General features: G+C 39.4%; 1 protein-coding gene across 2 annotated transcripts in view; it reads right to left on the bottom strand.

Annotated features, from left to right (window-relative positions):
• Positions 1 to 19,934, bottom strand: part of SORCS3 (sortilin related VPS10 domain containing receptor 3) — a 623,953-nt gene that overhangs the window by 51,973 nt on the left and 552,046 nt on the right. For both annotated transcript variants that reach the window (NM_014978.3, XM_011539542.2), the window contains 3 exons: positions 13,154 to 13,271; positions 12,017 to 12,150; positions 2,020 to 2,133 (listed from right to left, as the gene is read on the bottom strand). In NM_014978.3, the coding sequence (NP_055793.1) occupies positions 2,020 to 2,133; positions 12,017 to 12,150; positions 13,154 to 13,271 (366 nt within the window). The remainder of the gene's footprint in view (positions 1 to 2,019; positions 2,134 to 12,016; positions 12,151 to 13,153; positions 13,272 to 19,934) is intronic.

Below are 19,934 nucleotides of genomic sequence, written 5' to 3'. Positions count from 1 at the left end.
CTATACCTCCATTCAGGGATCCCAGGGGATATTAAGCTAATGTTGTATGTCATTACTGTCTCAGATCAAATTATGATATATTTTCTTGCATATATACATCTTTTTTGTCAACTGAGCTTATAATGGGTCTAAAGTTATTCTGGTTAACATAGCACCACTTGTCCATATGGTAGGCAATATGGTAGCGCACCTTGTGGCTACTGAGCACTTGAAATATCATTAGTGTGACAGTTGAAATGATAATATTTTGGAAATTTTGGGTTAAAGAAAACATTATTAAAATTAATATCACCTTATTTTTTACATTTTTAATGTGGCTACTAGAAAATCTGAAATTACATATATGCCTCATATTATAGTTAATTTGGTCATCACTGGTCTAGACAGTCAAGATTTGTAATCAATTTATACTTTCTCAGGATGCATAGTTACAAGACACTCAGTTTTTACTGATGATAGGTATTTCAGTGGGTACCATGTCCTAACACAAACTTGATATCATCTACTCTTCTTTTTCAGCCTCAATTGGCCATTAACTCAAGCTGGTTGATGATTTTGTAAACATAAGCCAACATTTACACAATCTGGAGGTATTGGTAGACATCTGTAGCATATTTGTTTTCTTTTTTTTTAATTGCCATTCCTTTTCATTCTCCTGAATTATTTTGTTAGCTATTTGGGATTTTGGCATAACTAAGTTGCTTAAAATGTGGTCTACCTACACATGTCACATGATCCTATGAAATGCTTTAATTCAATTCTTTTATAATTCTGTTTTAACCTGCAATCACATTCAGCTTAGGCCCTGACTGGGAAATTGGTGGCCCAGCTAATAACTTGTGCGCATAATACTCCCTTTCCTCAAACTTCCTGGCACTTTATTCTCTGACACCACAATCTCTTTAACTTCATGCTGTTGGATCTGCAATTTGAATGCCTTAAGTCCCTAAACTAGACTCCTACAATTAAATAACAGCAAAGATCCTTGAGCCTTAGCTCAGGCTCCAGGAATAGCCCTCCCAGAACTAAATAGTTGGCATGCATTTCAGAGTATCTCAGACCAGTCAGCACTTCTTTTTCATCATATTTTTTCCTTTGTTGACATCAGTTAGGTAGATAGTACTCAACCTATCTACATCTACCTAACTGATTATGTTACAACTAGCTATGACAAAAGCATCAAGAAGATGAATAACTTGACTGAGATGACAGAAGATCCATTGGGAGAGTTAAGACTGGCATCCAGAACAACTCTGGTCCAGAGACCAGCAATATCGACATCACATCGGAGCTCACAGAAAGGAAAAATTTCCCCACCACCCCAGATCTCCCAAATCAGAAGCTGCATTTTAAAAAGATCCCCAGATGATTGATAGGCACATTAACATTTGAGAGGTGCTGTCTTAGACCACCCATCCACTTGTGAAATCCGTTCTTGGTTATAGAGGCAGCAAAGGAAAGGGCAAGACAACAAATCTTCAAGAAAATGTTTTTCAAGCATGCGAAAGAGTAACTAATACATGAACAAAGAGATAAACACACACGTCATTTGAGAATTCCTGAAAGGGATCCTTGACATTTTTATTCCAGGAATTCCTAGAATGGAACTTTTGAATTTTCATTTTAAGTTTTCAGCATCAGTGTCACAGAGTTTCAGTTCATCTTTCACTAGAGAGTAGTGTAATATCTGCACATCACTTGTATGAATTTAATTCACTTGAGTGTCAAGGAATAAGACTACATGACCTTCCAGAAGAGAAGGATTAACCAAAACAGTAACTATGGTCTATCATAAGCAAATATTCAAAGTTATTGAAATCTGGTTGATCAGAAATCTCTTCTGATGCTCCCCAAATAGATACTCTCAGCTAAAGAACTCCTCACTTCCCTTCAAATGCCATTTGTTATAAACAGACTCCATCTTCACTCCATTGTATTCAATAGCAATGCATTTCCTTTGGTCCTAGTTTAGAGAAACAGGAAAACAGGGAGCTGAGTTCCTGTAGGTGTTTTACTTACCCAGTGCTGTTAAGGTAGCTTTGACCAAGGCTGCAGTCCTTTGATGGGGATGCTGGATTGTACCAGAAAGCTGGGACACACTGGCTCTCCCCATGTCTCTCATACCCATAGTCACTGTCAGGAAAATGAATATTGCATAGTAGTATATATGTACAAACGCTAAAATAACCGCAGGCACACACAAACATATACATGTCCCTATTGCCATCCAGAAAGTCATAACACATTGTTTTAAATATCCCCAGTGAGGGTAAATATTCATATTTTGAAAATGAACTTTTAGCTTTATAAATAATTCCAAATCATTTGGAGTCCAGTCAACAGAACAAAATAGCAACTTAGCAAATAGAAATTCTAGGTTTAAAAAGGTATTGATATAAATAATGTGGCAGGTACATTGGCTTGGGAGTAAATGCGGAGGATGCTGTTAAAAATACATTTTAAGTCACAGTAGAATTATTGAAATAAGTACATGACAACAAAGACAATGACTCACCCTCTCTGAAACAAGTATATACATGTCCATTCACATGGACACATAGAGTCATTCAAACTTTTCCTGATGAGATAAAACAAAGGCCCCTATTTCCCTAAAAATAAAATAAAACTACACTGTAGCTCTTTTTGTGTGTTTCTTTAAAATCCTAGCCATAATAAAATGAAGAAAGAAAGTCCGCTACTATTTCTTTCCCCTCTTCTCCCTGATGCAAAATGGGAAAGTAACAGAGCAGTGTAGAAAAGGAGGTCCCCTATCTGAAGTCCAAACAGTGCTTCCCTACTTCTTGGAGTTTCAGAAGACTCCTGGGTGTGTAAATGTCAAAGTAGAAGAACAATAAAGTAGGTAGAAGGTATTATTGCTCTTGTAGCCAACCAGAGATCATTGAGGGTAGCTTCACTTGGCTGAATTCATGTTTCTAAGTCAAGCATCTTAGGGTTTTCTGAAACCCACCGATGGGGCAAAATAAACTGAACATATAAATATTAATCCATTAAGTGTTAATAAAACATGAAGCAGCAGAAAAGAAGTTGCTTTCTCAGAACCCACAACTCCTTTCTTTTTCTGCTTCCTGTATATTCTTTGAGCCAAGATTTTGTGGAAGTCCAATGAAAACAGAGGCAAATTTTCTGTGTGTATATCTACAACAGGAATGAAGGGGAGAGGGGACTAAAAATTTAAATTTAATTCCACATCTATTTACAACTCACTATGTGCTCTGCCCTGTAAAATAATAATAATAATAAAAAACTTAAAAAGGTGTGATAATCCGTGTCCTCAAAGGTTTTTCAGTCTTTGGGGGAGAGAGATACAGCATACCCCAAACATGACTAAAGAACAGAATAAAACCATATGCAACACAGCACTAAACAGTAGAGCTAAGAAGAACCAATTGATTAATGAGATCGTACACAATATCTTCCGAGTCTGACCCCACCCCACCTTCTTACCTATCTTCTCATCAAACTCTTAACTGAACACTTCTAGCCAGCCTTTTCAACCCTCTTTATCTTTCTATATGTAATCCCTCAGGCTTGAAGCATTCCACTTTTTTCTATGTTTGGTAGTTTCCTACTTATCCTTCTTTAATATCTAGGTCATAGAAGGCCATCACTGCTTCCCCAGACAAAATCTCTGGGGTCATAACCTGTTGGTAACTATAAGTGGAAGCTACAAAAGAGCAGGGATAATTTTCAGTTTTTGTTTGTTTGTTTGTTTTTGGCCAATATGAATTTAGAACTGTACCTAGGACATTTCAGGCATTAAATATTTATTGGGTAAATGAATTCCAATTACATTAGAAAGCAGTTGCAGCTGGGCACAGTGGTTCACACCTGTAATCCCAGTACTTTGGGAGGCCGAGACGGGTGGATCATCTGAGGTCAGGAGTTTGAGACCAGCCTGGCCAACATGGTGAAACCCCGTCTCTACTAAAAATACACAAAAATTCACCAGGCATGGTGGCAGGAGCTTGTAATCCCAGCTACTTGGGAGGCTTGGAAGGAGAATCGCTTGAACCCAGGAGGTGGAAGTTACAGTGAACCAAGACCGCACCACTGCACTCCAGCCTGGGCAACAAGAGCGAAACTCCGTCTCAAAAGAAAAAAAAAATTATCCCATTGCATTACATGATTGCATTACATCTATCTCTGCAGGAAGACTGTGGGCCCATAACTGATGCTACAATGTGGACTGCAGAGAGTAGCCCCAAGTGCCCAACAGATTCCTGTGGAGTTAATGTGACAAGAATCATGGATTTCTACATAGAAAGGTGGAACTTGAGATCAGTCTTATATTGGCATGTTTAAATGAAGCTGGAAGGAAGGAAGGAGAAACAGACACTGCTGCCAAGTAAATGTTTTGGTCAAGGCTTCTGATTAACTACTGGAGATCTCAGTCTGACAGTTCGTATGGACTCAGTGTTGTGCCAGCTTGTAGTAGCCCATGAGAGCTCACAGTTAACATCTCAGAAATTTTGCAAGCTAATTAATGGTTGTTAAAGCCACTATTAAAAATGAAACTGTATGAAATTTCAATTACATAAATTATATTACAAAGATAATACTTAAAGCATACATTCTTGATTGCTATATTTTATTATTATATATAATATATATTATATAAAAATATTCTATCATTCTATTGTCCATGCTATTGAGGTGCTTTACATCCATGTATCTGCATGGTGGGAATATTATATAATGTTGTGGTACTAGCTATCTCTCCCCAGTTCTGCGTTCACTCATGTCAGGTTGGTAGTTTGAAATCTGCCATGATGGGAATATGTATGATGATCAGCAGATACCATTAATCAGGGAGTATTAATTTGTTAGTTCCCAGAGAGCCAGCAGTTAAATATTTACAAGTACACCACTGGATCTCTTATTTCTCTTTTTTTTTTTTTTTTCCTCTCTGAGACAGAGTCTCACTCTGTCACCCAGGCTGAAGTGCAGGGACGCGATCTCAGATCACTGAAACCTCCGCCTCCCAGGTTCAAGTGATTCTCCTGCCTCAGCCTCCAGAGTACCTGGGATTACAGGCACCCACCACTATGCCCGGTTAATTTTTGTATTTTTAGTAGAGACGGGGTTTTGCCGTTTGGCCAGGCTGGTCTCAAACTCCTGACCTCAAGTGATCTGCCCACCTCAGCCTCCCAAAGTACTGGGATTATAGGCGTGAGCCCATGTTCCTGGCCTGAATTACTTATTTCTAAGCATTTTTTATCTGTGGAAACATTGGGCTGTGGTGTATCCTTACTACTTATCAAAAATTCTCCAGTTGTTTTCTTAGGTAAATCTATTGAATGTCCCATTAACCCTAGGGATTACTGGTAATCTATGAAGGAAGGGTGCTCTCTCTCAAGCAATTTTAAGAATGAAAGAAACATCTTAATGGTCTTTGCTAAATATAACCGTGTTTAGCAGTTCTGTTCAGCTCTGCTACCTGTCAGCAATGCAGTAATTTTAAAAGGTGCACCAGGCATGTTGCTTTGCCCCAAAGAGTAAAAGAATTTCATTAATATTTAACAACACTAGTGGAAACTGGCTGCCTCCAAGCTGTGGACTTCTTCATTAATTTCTCCTAAATGTATATTAAAATATCTCATACAGCTCAATCTCCTTCCCAGCTCCGAAGTCTGCATGATTTAGAAAAACAAGCAGCTCCAGCTGTTTCTCCAGCTTCCTGGGGAAAGGCATTTTTCTGTTGAATTGTGAGGTTTGGACAGAATGCACCAGAAAGTTTGATTTGCCTCGGGGAAGTCTACTGCTGCGGATTCTGCAAACACACACACATTTTCCTTCAAGAAATAAGTCACCTCTATGTCTTTCTCAACTATAACAGCTTTAGAAGTTCTAAAACTTTTTCATTTCCGGGAACCTGCATGTTTTCCAAATCCCATCCAGGGAAAAGGCTTAGATTCTAAAGGAGGGATAGCCAGGACAGTTTAGAAATAATAATAATAATAATAATAATAATAATAAACCTCTGCATGCCAAAATAGGAAGGGATACTTTTATTCTTGGATCCAGTCTCCTAAGTTGGTAGACTGGAAAAGAAAAGCAAAAAGAGGAGAAATGACTTTGCCAAAGATTGTACACAGCTGACAGTGGCAGAGGTGATAATGGAGACTCCTGATCCCTGTTCAGCATGAGTCCAATCCCATAGGGCACCCACTGGCTCATTAAGGAGGGCCCTAGTCCCCAGGAATGACATTCTGAGACTCTTGGAGCTAACCAAGAAGTCATGGTCTCTTCCAGACAAGCTGCAGGGGCTCTCAGACCACTCATAGCCATATCACAGCCTCCCTGATTCCCATTTCTCCATCCTCCCATCTGCCAGTTGAGATTCCAGTACTAGTGATCTACAGGCACCCTGTTCCACTTCAGCAGGCAGGATAGCATGGTAGGTTTGGGATTAGGCAAATAGAGGTTCTTGGTAGGCATGGAGTGAGCACTCAACAAACACAAGCAGGCCCAACAGCAACAAAAACAATGGATTAATCATTAACATCATCATTTAGCTAAGACATAAGCCCAAATACAGTCTCAAAGAAAAATTACAATTATATCCCAACTATTTCAGAAAATGCTTGGAAAATCCAACAATCATTCCTCAAATATTTCTCCTAATCTAATGTTTTCTTTAGGTTTATGTTTTCTTAGTCTGTTATTTATTTCTTTGAAGTACTGCCTATTTTCCTTTTCTTCCTCAGCAGGAAGTCTACATAGTCCCACCACTACCTCCTGCAGGAAGCCTTCCATGATTACTTCAGTTCAGTGATCTTTTTGTTCTCTTTCTTTTGTGTATCTATAGCACATACAGTCAGAACCAGTGCTGTTCAATAGAACTTTCTATGATAAGAGAAATATTTTATATTAAGCTAATATGGTAGCCCCTAACTAGTGCAATGAAGGAATAACATTTTTTATTTCATTTTAACTCAAATAACCACATGTAACTATGATAGCTTTGGACCATAAAATTCAGCATTTAATTATACTCATTATTTTCTGCTATGCCTTCTTTTAGTGCAATAACTCTTTTGTATATTTTATAAAGTTTGTATATTTTGTAAATAACAATGTTGTTTATTGTCTTGTTTATCCTCTGACTTGTCCACTGCGGAAACACATCCTTGCTTGTGCTCCATAGGCAGAGTACTCAAGCTTACTCTGGGGAACCACTAGATTAATGTACTTCGGATACATCTGAATGTATGTGCTGTGACACCCCCAAATCTCCTCCCCTGTCTTCTACATCACCACTCAATAAACTTGCTTTGTGGATGTAGTGCCATATGGGACATGGAGGTAGCCAGTAATACATACTAAGACTCAGGACTCTGAAGTCAGAATAATATTATCCTGAGTGAATTACTTAACATCTCTGTGTTCCATTCCTTTATCTGTAAAATGTCTGTAATAGCAGACTCTCCTTCTGGGAGTCCATTGAGAAGATTAAGATAATTCATCTCACAGATGTGGTAAAACATCTGCTTACATAGTAGGGGCTCAGTAAAGTTTTTGTCGAGTGAGAAGTTAGATGAATGAGTGAAAGAAAAGAACTCCTGGGCATAATAATCTCTGGTTCAACCTCGTTTCTCACTGAACAAGTGAATTCAGGTCTCCTGGAGGGCTACTCCCTCTCAAGAGCCCTCGTGTGACTTTAGAGGAGCCCCCTCTTGCACCTTTTCTGACTGCCTGCTGGTCTCTAACAACCTTTACTCTCAATAAGGATTTGTTCCTGGTCCTTCTCCAGCGCCATGATGGAGGTTGCTGCAAAGTGGCTCTCTAGGGTTCGCTTGAGGCTGGTGGATTTATGAGGCTCTTATGCTGAAACATCAATCTTTATGCAGAATTCATACTTATTACTGATACTCGCTCTGGAGAAAGTTGTGGAAGTGAATGTTTTGCTACAAATAAATGTTCTGAGAATCTAGAAAACCTCCTCTTTTCTTGCAAAAGAGGGACAGAGACAGAAAATATCTTCCCTCTGTGAATCCAGGTTGCATTCCTCAATTCTTCCACCAAAGTGAAGACTTTAATTCATCCTTCCCAGTCTTTACTCTTCCCTCCCAAACTGACTGAACTAGGTGATACCCTCTCTCTGCTGTCTCTGAGGCTTGAACTTTTCCTAGATCAATCAAATGAACTTGCCCTGATTTGGCCTAGGGAAACATCTAAATGGACTGTGCATGATAATCACTGGTACTAACTGTACTGGGTATTTCAGATGCCTTAGCTAATAATACTTCCTGCTAGAGAGGACCATTGAGAAGGGGACAAGGCTATACGCCATATGCTGATTTCTAGCATTAGCATTAAAGACCAGCAAACAGACAAACTGTATTTGTTGGAAAAACTGTATCTTTTAACAAATCACTATGCTTATTGAAGTTAACTTAAAAACAAGAAGACAATTTCAAATATTCAGTCTCATTGTCCCCCCAAAAATCACTGTAAATAATTCAGAAATTTCAGTAATCAAAAACAACTTCTCCCCTACTCAGTAGTAGTAAAAAAAAACTTTATAGGTCGTGTGAGTTTTTTTTTTGTTTGTGTTCTGAGATTATGACCACAAACTGAGCATCTGGCCTTGTCTACTTCTCTACTTTACTCAAGTGGTTCTCTATATTCTTTTTAATATGAGGTGTGATTGGCTATAAAAATGCAAACATACACCACATTATATATCAAAAAAAATTCTATAAAATATTTTTGGAGACCATACACCTATTATGATTCTAGTACCAATGGTCAAAACTACTTCATTGGAAATTGTTTTAGTGTTGAGGAAACATTCTACCTTATATTTCATCAACAGCAGTAAACCCAAGTCCTTGGGGATGAGTTTTAATTTTAGAGTAAGTAAACTTGGAAACTTTATTTTTTTCTGAAGCAAAATGAATCTAAAATAATAAAGACTTGTTTGATTTCTTGAGAAATGGCAGGGTGTAGAGGAGAGAATGTGGAATTTAACTAAATCTGCACTTGAACCCCAGCTCATTCTCTCCCAGGGATGTAACCTTGATCAAGTAACCTATATCCAAGATGTTTCTTCTCATTAAAAGGCAATAATAAAGATCCTGACATTACAGCGTCTTGGATCCACATGGTACCTCTACCAGTGCAAGTATGAGAACCACAGAAGGCCGTGTAAAGGCTCCCCCTCGCCTCTCCCACCGTGCTTTACTTATAGATGGATTCTGACAGCACTCCCTAAAGAAGGGTTCAGAAATACTTTGAGCAATGCCACCAGTACTGAAGTAAATGGATCAGACCCCAAGATCCTACTCTGAAAACAGTGCTTATTTGGATGTATAAGCTTTGGTTTACTTCCAAAAATACCATAGGGACCACTTAACCCTAGGGTGTAAGAATAACAACAGCATCAACAGCAGCAGCAATAGCTAGCCTATGTTGTATTTCTATGTTATACATCAGTAGGATAAATGCCTTATCTATATTAATGATGTATATTAATATATGAATTCATTTATTCTTCCTTAGGACCCAATGCGGTAGATGTCATGTATTTTTATTTTGCAGCTATAGAGATGAAGTCACAAAGATTAAGAAAACTTGCCAAGGTCAAAAACTGTGACTATCAGTGCTAGAATTTTTGCCCAGACCAGTAAATGTTAATGGAATTACTGATGAGAAAATATTTTACAGTTCTTATTTCTTCTCACTTGTGATGCTACCCAACAATGGGTGAGGGTCTATTATGGCACACAGAGACACAGGAGAATATGTATCATGACAAATTCAAAGACAGTGTGCCTCAATGGAGTTAGTCTGCAGAAGGACACAAGGAAGCCTAAAATTAATATTCTGAATATTCAGGTTGACATCAATATGTCACAAGCCATAATTTTGAGTGGCCTACTGCACTCATTGCTGTGACTATTTTTGCTTAATTGTGATTAATAATTGAAAATATTTTTCACAATGTGAAAATATACTTTGCTGCCAAGGGCTCAAAATGGTCACAGAAAGGACTCTGCTAGTCAAACTTAAATTACACTTAGTATATCTCATTTTCATGAATTTCACTGAAGCCATGCTTTCCTAGGTATGAGTTTAAGGATAAAGAACAGGTGGAGAGCAGAGTCACTCCTCTGGCTTCCAGTTATATTCCTAGCAGAAAGTGGGAAACAAAGGATAGTTTCTAGTACAAATCAAGCTAAAAAACCAGCTGGATGAAATGAGGCTGGAAGAAGTGAGGCTGCCATTCAGGGGCAGCTGCTCTGTGCCCACTTGGACTTACTTTGACTATCTGATGCCAGAGAAGCCCAAATGCAGCTCCATCATTGCCCTGCCCCTCCCAAGTTTAGAGGCCAATGCCCAAGCCCTTAGTTTTGTCTTTTAACAAAGACAAAGCTGAGATGGGCTACCAAAATAATCAAATTGAACTTTAGCTTTTTATTGTGATGCAGGGGAAGAATTCATCCAGCTGGGATCGGAGTGCTATGTACCCATTCCCAGAATTGGGGAGATTTTTGACCCTCCTAAAAGGAACAATGTTCAGAAACATGCTACAACTCTTTATTGAATGTTTACAGCGGGCCAGGCGCTGTGGATGCAGAAACAAGGAAAGTCTAAAACTCCTGCATTCCCAGCACTTACATTCTACTGGAGAGATAGGTGATAGTGGAACAATCAAAAACATGTTCATTTTGTACGGCAATTAATACTAAGGAGATAATAAAACAGGGATATACTAGACTGTGCCAGGGTATAGGTGAGATTAGGTGGTCTCAGAAGGCATTTCTGAGAAGCTGATATTTTTGCTGAGACATGAGTGACTCAAAGGTGCCGGCCATACTAAGATTTGGAAGAAATTCTTGCATTTTCTGCTCCCTCTGCTAGGAATGAGCCAGGATTAATAAAGGTGCAGGAGGTGGTAATGCGGTTGCAATACAGTGAATGAGGTAAGAACAGTAAGGAATTTTGACATAAAGGTAATTGCAGGGCTAAATCACCTACAATGGAGGAAACTAAGGAAAGAAGATTAGATTTTAAGTGAGGGGGAAGATATTGGAGTATTCTAAGTGTAGTAGTGATAAGATATGGTTTGAGTTTTTAAAATACCATCTCGGTTGCTGTGAGGAGAATGAATTTTAAGTGACAAGGGTGGATGTGGAGAGAGTTCGATTCCTGGAGTGATACAAACAGCTGAGAGATGGAAAGAAGTGATTTGACTTAGAATGTGTTTTGAGGGTAGAAACTGCAAGGACTTGCAGATGGCCTGGATCTGACAGTGAAAGAAAAGGAGAAACCAAACCCTTCTGGCAACTGAGTGGATAGCTGTGTGTTTTATTGAAATTAGAAAAACTGGGCAAGGGACTCCTTCCAATGAAGGGGATTCAAGAAAAGCTTTGCTTTGGCTGCCTTAAGTTTGATAACCCTGATAGTGAATCAAGAGGAGATGAATGCTGAGTAGACAGCCAGACACATATGTGTCCAACCAAGAGAAGGGGGAGGCCAGGGCCAGAGGTAAATATTTGGAAATTTGGGAGTAATTGTCTATAGGTGAGATTTGAATTTCATTAAGTGAGATTTAAGGTTGTTCTCCATTGCTGTTATTAGGGGGAGAAAAAGGAAACAAGAGAGAGGTCACGTAGAAGAGCACAGTGAGAGTGCATGTGGCTGGAGGCAACAGCAAGGCAGTAGCTCTCTAACCTCTGTCAATGCCCAGCACAACTTCTCCAGTAGTTTCCAATACAGCTGCTCAGTGTAGATGAGAAGAAGCCCCCTGAGAGATGCTGCTCTGATAGATCAGTGACTCTCTCTGTGAAAATGCCTCAGCCTGTCCTCCTTCCAGGAATGCAGACTTCCCATCTGGCCCAGTAACTGGGATGGATGGGCCCACAGGCCAGCAGATACACCTCCTATCTCTGCGTCATGCTTCCTCTCCTAACTTCATCTTCACCCCACCCCACCCCACAGACAGGTGAAGACCTGGTTGGAATTGGTAATGAAATGCCAAACAACTCACCACTCGAAGTCCCAATTGGCACAGACACAGGGTTCTGAGACCACTGATCCTGAGTGGTCTCGGCCCAGGGCACACTGAGCTCCTGGCTTACGTTTCTTGAATATTTTCCTTTCTCCCATGACACAAGGCTCTCCCTTAGAGAGAAATTCCATAGTGTGAGAGACAGAAAAACAAAAAGGTGGTGAAATAAACCAGTTGTCAACAAGAAGCATTAGCCTGTTCATTCTCATTTAGGTACTTTATGTAGCAGTCTCATTCTCAGTAATGATCCAGGAGTTTCAAGAATAAAAGTGCTAATCTTTCACTACCACATAAAAGGAACATTATGGAAGGTGGGCCCACTTCTACCCTCCACCCACCCAAGCCAGTGATGTCTACATCATCCCGTTTCTGCTCCACCTCCATAGAGAATGTAAGGACTCCAGGCATCTTTGCAGACCACCAGGTACATTTGCCCAAATGGCTTCAGTAGCAATTCTAGTGGAAAGGAGCCCATTTATGGCACATTTTTCACATGGTCTTCAGAGGGAAATTGAAGTTGACCCAAAATGTTCCTTCTCTATGATAAACGACCATGCCCAAATCTTAATTCCCAGTCAAGAACAAAGAAAGGAGAAGTTGATACAAATTACAAGGACCCAGTGGTTCTGGAGCAGAAGTCTGCCTATTTCTCACAGCAGTAAATATCTACCATTGCTAGACCTACCCACCCTGACACCATTTCTCAGTGGACCTGTTCCCAGTGCTCTGGGTCCCTTATTTCAGGCTAGTCTGAGAAATGCTCTCGCCCTCCACATTGGCAGATAAAATGAGCAACTCTTGGAGGCCTTCTAGCTGTAAAAAGCTCATTTCTCCATGGATAGAGCTAAAACCCCAGGTTATCATCAACACCTTTCCCCCAGGCAGCTCAGTGACCTCAATTAGTAGATAGGATCCCAGGGTGCGAGATAGTTCCTAAATATCATCTGGCCCTACTGGACCTGAGTGTGTTTCACCCTTTTCTCCAAATCCACACCCACATCCTCAGATGACCCACTACCTTCCTCCCCTAAATAGGAAGGCTCAGATAAGACCCAGTCGGACTTGCACTAGCTCCTCCTCCTCAAAGCCAGCACTCCAACTCCCTGGGGTGTGTACCTGATTGAGCAGGTGCCAGGTCTGATAGTCCTCCTTGGTGCAATGCCGGCTGAAGATAGATTTGTAGTCCACTTTCACCAATTGCCATTCGGAGCGGAGGCTGAAGTGGCCAAAAACTCTAAGTGTTTAGGGGAGGAGTGGGAGACACAAGGGGAGAAAGTCCCATAGTCAGTCACTAATGCACAGAAACTAGGAAGGAGATAGAGATTCACTGCAGCCTGGACTTTAGTTATTCTTCCAAAGTGAGTTCCTTGAGGGCCATTAAGGAGAAAGTCCACTATCCATACAATTCAATCAACTGGCATGTCATTCACAGTGGGTTTTAAATCAACCATTTTTTAAATTGCAAAAGTAATATATGCCTATTACAGGAAGCATTTAAAATATAAAAAGCCCAGTAAAGAAAAAAAATTGGGACCGGTAGTCCCAAACTCAACACCCATATAAAACCCCTGTTCAGATTTAGATACACAGCCTTCCCATTTCTCCTTAATGCAAGCACTGGCATTTTGCCTACCCATGTCCATGGACAGGGACTCAGTTTCCTCATCTGTAAAGTGGATTGTAAGTATATGTGTTGGGGTAGAAGGAATGAATTTGCTAATTTAAAGTACAACTTTGCCAACTGCAAAGTCCTAGTTGAATTTAAGTGTTAGTTGAAATTCCATTGTTTAACGCACATGAATACCTACCTACCCTCCCTCCTCCTTCCTTAAAAAGAAAAAAGAATCACAGCAGACTCATAAAAGGAACTCATATTTATGTATAGTAAAGAAGCACACCATCTGTGACTTAGATAATCAATACTGACCTTTTCAAAGCCCAGCAGTTGATTGCCCTATAAATATGAATGATCAATTGTTTCTAGAAAAATGGAAAAAAAAAAAAGACTGATCATCCATACTCTACTCGGGTGGCGTGTCTTGCAATTACAATGCAAGACATCTATCATAGTGATGTAAAGGGGAGACCGATCATGCTGCGAACTTAAAACAACTGAGGTCTTTCAAGGAATTGGATGGCTTCCATTTCAGCAAGACTTAATCACACTACCAGCCCTGGATTCTCCTCTGCCCAAGTTCAGATACTGTTATGGTGACACCTACAAGATTAACTCTCTTCCTGGGTCATTTTCTTATGCTCTCTAAAAGATGAGGATGCTTATGGGAAAGGTAGAGACTGACAAAACTTGTGAAATGAGGAAGAATATAGAGTTGCTTTTGTGGATCATCCAATTTACAATACATCTCAGGATCAATTTTGAATGTGCTTCAGATAAAAGTTAAATAAAACCTTTAAGAGGCTTATCTAAAAGAAAATTAAGCAGACTTTGAAAGAGAGACAGGATCTCTCCTTTAGTAAAACTACATGGGTTTTGTGTGGATCTAAGCTCAGCATGGGGTAGGAGAAACTCTGAGCCTAGAATACCCAACATATGCAGCTGACACTGTGGAGCAAAGCAAACCTAACTCCCTCTCCCTGGGTTCTCTCTGTTCTCTTGTAGTCTTGGTAAATCCAGTGGTTTCCAAATCCAATTCATCAATGCCAGGTCATCCACTAAGGTATTTCCATTTCTTAGCTCTAAATTCATTTTACATAGCGGTCAGTCCATTTTAAATCTTTAACAAAACAGCTCTCTCTTATCAAACATTTTTGCTTGTTTGAAGAGAGGACAGTTAAACTGATAAGCCTCATCAAGGGAAAACGAAACAAACAAACAAAAACAGTGGGAGGAGACCTTGATGGATATCTTTTTTTTCTCTATCCAGCCTTCAAAACTCTCGCATTCAGATACCACTTCCAGCAGTAAGTCTTCCCTGATTGGAAGACTTACTAGTGCAGGATGTTAATGATGCTAAACCATATATTTCTGTTGACTCCACATAGTTCAAATTTACTTCCTGGATCACAAAAAACGTCATGTCAGATTAATCACATTCCTTTCTATTAAAAGGTTACTAGGCAGACAGAAGAGGAAAATGTGAAGCACATGATTTACCTGGATACCAGCATGGCATTTGAACAGGGTCTGTCATAGGAATCTTGACAAAAAGATTGAGAAAATATGAGCCAGGTGCTTGGTAAAATTATGTGGCTGAACAGTACCTAATGAAGACATTAAAATCAACCAAGAGGGAGGTGTGAGTAGTCCGCTGCAAGGTTCTGTTGTCTGCTCTTTCTTGTTCATCATTTTTATTAACGACTTGAAGACATGAAAATAATGGTCATCATTGGAAATTGAATTTTTTGATGACATAAAGCTGGAGGAAGCCCTCAATATGCTCGATGGCAGAAGCAAGACTCAATAAGGTCGTGACAGACTAAAGAGACAGGCTTAATTTAATAAGGTGTGATGTCACCTAGAGAAATGTTAGCTAGATCCTCTCCATGGTAATTACATAAGTACCAGATAAAAGAAATGGGGCTTGGTACTTTTCAGGTTTAATAGTAATAATAATAGCAGCTTAAGAGTTTCCACACACAATGTGAACACTTCAGGGAGACATAAAATATTTAACGTGATCTTGAAATGCATTAACAGAATTATATGTATTGTCTAGAACCAAAGAGGCAATAACCTGTTTTTTTCTACATTAACCAGATCACCAGGAAAATTGTGGTTGCTTTTGACTGTTACCATTCAAGAAGGATATAGACTGAGTGTTTGAATCTACAGCACATGTTTGGGCTTTGGTAGTGGTGGTGAAGTATGAATCTGCTTAAATTTTAAACAAACAAAAAGGTGCTTAATGGCACATAAGTACTCATCTATAAATAAAAATCACATATATTTTATCAGATTATTCAAAGGGGTTCATAGTTCCTAAAGTTTAAGGACCACTGAAGAAGAGAGTGACTAAGACGGTACACTGCATTGAATGGTAACCTGCAATAAGATATGACCACTTCCTATTCCCTGGAGCTATGAATGTGACCTTATGTGGGAAAAGTATCTTTGCACTTATAAATCAAGGGTCTTGAGTTGAGATCATCTTGGATTATCAGGGTGGGCTCTAAATCCAATGACAAGTATCATTATAAAAGACACAAAGATGAGTAGCATGCAGTGAGGAGAAGGCCATGTGAAGACAGAAGCCAAAATTGGAGTTATGCAGCCCAAGCCAAAGAACACCTGGAACTTCAGGAAGATGGAAGAAGCAAAGAATGAATTCTCCCCTAGAGCCCCAGGGGAGTAGAGGCCTGCTGACCTTTTGATTGTGGACTCTAAACTCCAGAACTACAAGAGAATAAATGTCTGTTCTTTTAAGCCACTAAATTTGTTACAACAGCCACAGGAAACTAATACAGGTGGCAATATGATCCAAGACCACTTTCATCTACCCAAACTGCAGTGTAAGAACTCAGGCTAGTTAACCTGGACATGACTTAGGATTCCTAAGTGCAGTGAGGGAAGAGCAGCAGGTTGATATTCTAGGGAGCTCTCTTGCATGAAAAAATAAAAGTGTGGAAGTTTATAAAATGTGAGAGAACTTTCTTTTCTGTTTTTTTTGAAACAGAGTTTCACTCTTGTTGCCCATGCTGGAGTGCAATGGTGCAATCTTGGCTCACTGTAACCTCCACCTCCCTGGTCCGAGCAATTCTCCTGCCTCAGCCTACCCAGTAGCTGGGATTACAGGCATGCATCACCACACTCAGCTAATTTTGTACTTTTTTAATAGAGACAGTGTTTCTCCATGTTGGTCAGGCTAGTCTCGAACTCCTGACCTCAGGTGATCTGCCTGCCTCAGCCTCCCAAAGTGCTGGGATTACAGGCGTGAGCGACCACACCTGGCCTGTGAGGGAACTTTCTAACAGACAAAGGTTCTAACAACAGGAACAAGAGATGCTCAAAAGTTAGTAAGCATAGAAATTCAAGCTCAGGCTTGATCTATGGAGCAGCATGCAAGCATCATCCATGTGTACAGCCTAATTGACTCCGAGCCTCAAAGAATGTCCATGTTGTTGGTCTTTCCAACTCTTTGAGATATCCATTACTGATCTCAGAGTGCTCATTTCAGGACAGAACACAAGAATAGGTGCTCAGTCAGGACTTACAGACTTGTTCGATTGTTCTGTTTTGCAATCCTCACAGGTACATTCCTTTCATGTGCATTTCTTTGGCTTCTTTCCCAGATTTTCTTATATTGTGTTTCCCAGGTCTTTCCCCATACTGTAAACTGATACACTAATATGTTCACTCAGGAGTGTGCTAGTTTCCTCTCCCGGGAGGTCACTTTCGTGTATCAGATGCAAAATTTTAATCACTTAAACACTGGTAGGATTATGAGCTTTGCTCATTTTCTCAATGGGCCCCAAATAAGATCAGTGGGGTAAAATCCCCTAGCAACTTTCAGACGTTAATGTATTCCACATCGATCCACCCATTGTCAGCTTAGGGAAGAGCAAAGTTCACTGTGGTCCCTTTCCTATGGGGCATACATGACTCAGACACATGGTCACTTTTGTATAGACCCAGCTTCCCTAATTCTGTTCAATATCACATTAATTCATTGCTCTTCTGATTAAAGCTTATGGAAGCTGAAGAAATGACAGAAACATAGCAAAATAAGCAGGGAATGAAATTAAGAACTAATTCAAATTCAAATATTTTTCTTCTCTTTTCATGAATACCCAAGGAGCAGATGTTAAAATTTACAACAAGATCTGTGGAAGTAAGACACCAACAGAGAAATTGAAGTGGGCATCATCATAAACCATGTCCATCACTTTGGAGTGATGAACACTGAGAAGGTCCTCTTGATTCTGAATTAGGAAAAGAGAAAGCCCAGACCGCTTCTAATTGATAATAATAATTTTGAAAATAATCAAGTTCCAGTAAAAGTTTCTCATCTGCCAGAAATACTCCTCTTAAGTTAAGGAGAGCCTGTTACCAGCAAAATAGGTACAGCACACTTCTCATATGTGTAGTACTTTTACAGGGGGAACAAAGTGGTTCATGTATCAATAGAATATTAAAGCCCAAGAGATAGCTAGGATGGAAGAACCAAAGGCATGGAGCATCATTAAAAGGATACTATAATTCTCAAATCGGGCAATACTTATTTCAAAAAGTCCTCTGTGATTCCTCTGGCAACACTGAGCTCTTTCTTCAGAAGCTCAAATGGTCCTGTTATCTCTAGACCAGAGGTTCTCCAATGTCTACATCAGAATCACCTACAGGGTTGTTAAACATAGAATGTCTCACTCCCAGAGTTTCTTATTAGTACATTTGAGGTACCTAAGTATTTGAATTTCTTATAAGTTCCAGGTGATGCTGATGTTGCTGGCCCCAGGACCGTATTTTGAGAACAACTTACCCAGACCATCAATCTAGAATTTCAGAAATTTCCTGTATCTTTGGTGAAATTTTTGTCAACTAATTAAAAAGCTTCTTAAGCCTGGGGATACTTTTAGTACTTCTCTGTATCCTACGGAACCTATCAACAATAGTTGCTTGAAAAAGAATGGCTAATTGATCATTGAATGCCAACAGAAAAAAAACAAGGCAATTCTAGAGCGTGAAATTTTATTCTCAGGTCTTTGGCAAAGAGAAACGAATTCTTAGTATGGCCAAACTCACTGTTATTAAATCCCACTTCCTTGCAATTACCAAGATAAACTATTTTGACAGCCTTTTTCAGAAACCCATTGCTAGCCCCCTTTTGAACTCAAATCATATTTTCACCAACATAATCAAACCCCCAACATGTGAGATAATGTGGGTGAAAATTTTGAAAATCACAATAGACAACAAATGTTTATTACCATCATCATCATTTTTACTGTTGGAATCCTCATAGACTCACCCAAGGACTTTCTCATCAAGGACTTTCAATAGGCTTGGCTCAAAATCCTTTTATCAAGGTACGTACTAACTTCATATGCTGGGACTTTCTTTTTTTATTTGATATCTTCCTAGTGAGCCTTGGAGAAAGTGAACACCTCATATATAAATATAGATGACCACCTGGAAACAGGTAGCCTACCCTTTGGTTTCCTGAGGAAGTTGCTCCCAACCACAGGAACAAAATAAATGAATTCTCTATGCTATTTCTCACTATATAGATTTTCAGGAAAAAAAATCAATTAAAATTTATAACTCCCATTTTTCTCTTTCCTTTTACCTTGCCACTTGGATTTTTCATGAGAGTATTTGACAACCACTCAAGATTCACCTTCTTCTTGGACTCTACAAACTTAAGAGGCCATCTCTGTCTTTTTCTAAAACTCCTCTGATTCTAAATGCCTACACTGCTAACATGACTCTGGTTACAGGTGGTCTTCCTGTGCTCTTGAATTGTTGTTAACATATGGGTGGTCTGGGCATGGTCGCAAGAGTACTGGGCAGGGAAATAGAAGACTTGGCTTTTCCTAGACATGGTCTGCCATAAAATTAAGTAGGTGACCTTGAGCAAATCACTTCATCTCTCAAGGACTTATCTTTTTAATAAAAGATTGTTTGAAATCAGTGACATGTGTTCAAAGAATGAGTTGCAGAAATAGCCTACAGGGAATGTGGCCCTTTTGAGACCATTTCTAAGAGTTTATTTTCTTTCAATCCCCATGTCTACCTCAAAGTACACCTCAATGTCTACATCAAAGCTATCCATCTCCTGGTAACCCTATACACAAAGGATTTATCTATTACAGTCATTCATCTTTGTCTGCACTGGTACTTCTTTCATATAACAGATGCTTAATAAATACTTCTGGGTTGATTAATGATAGAATTAATCTAACAAAATCATTCACTTCTTCCAAAATTGAGGTAATAGCTTCA

This window comes from Homo sapiens, chromosome 10 (genome assembly GCF_000001405.40).
Source record: "Homo sapiens chromosome 10, GRCh38.p14 Primary Assembly".
NCBI lineage: Eukaryota > Metazoa > Chordata > Mammalia > Primates > Hominidae > Homo > Homo sapiens.
The sequence above is the reverse complement of the archived record's forward strand: the minus strand, read 5'-3'. Positions and strand labels throughout refer to the sequence as shown.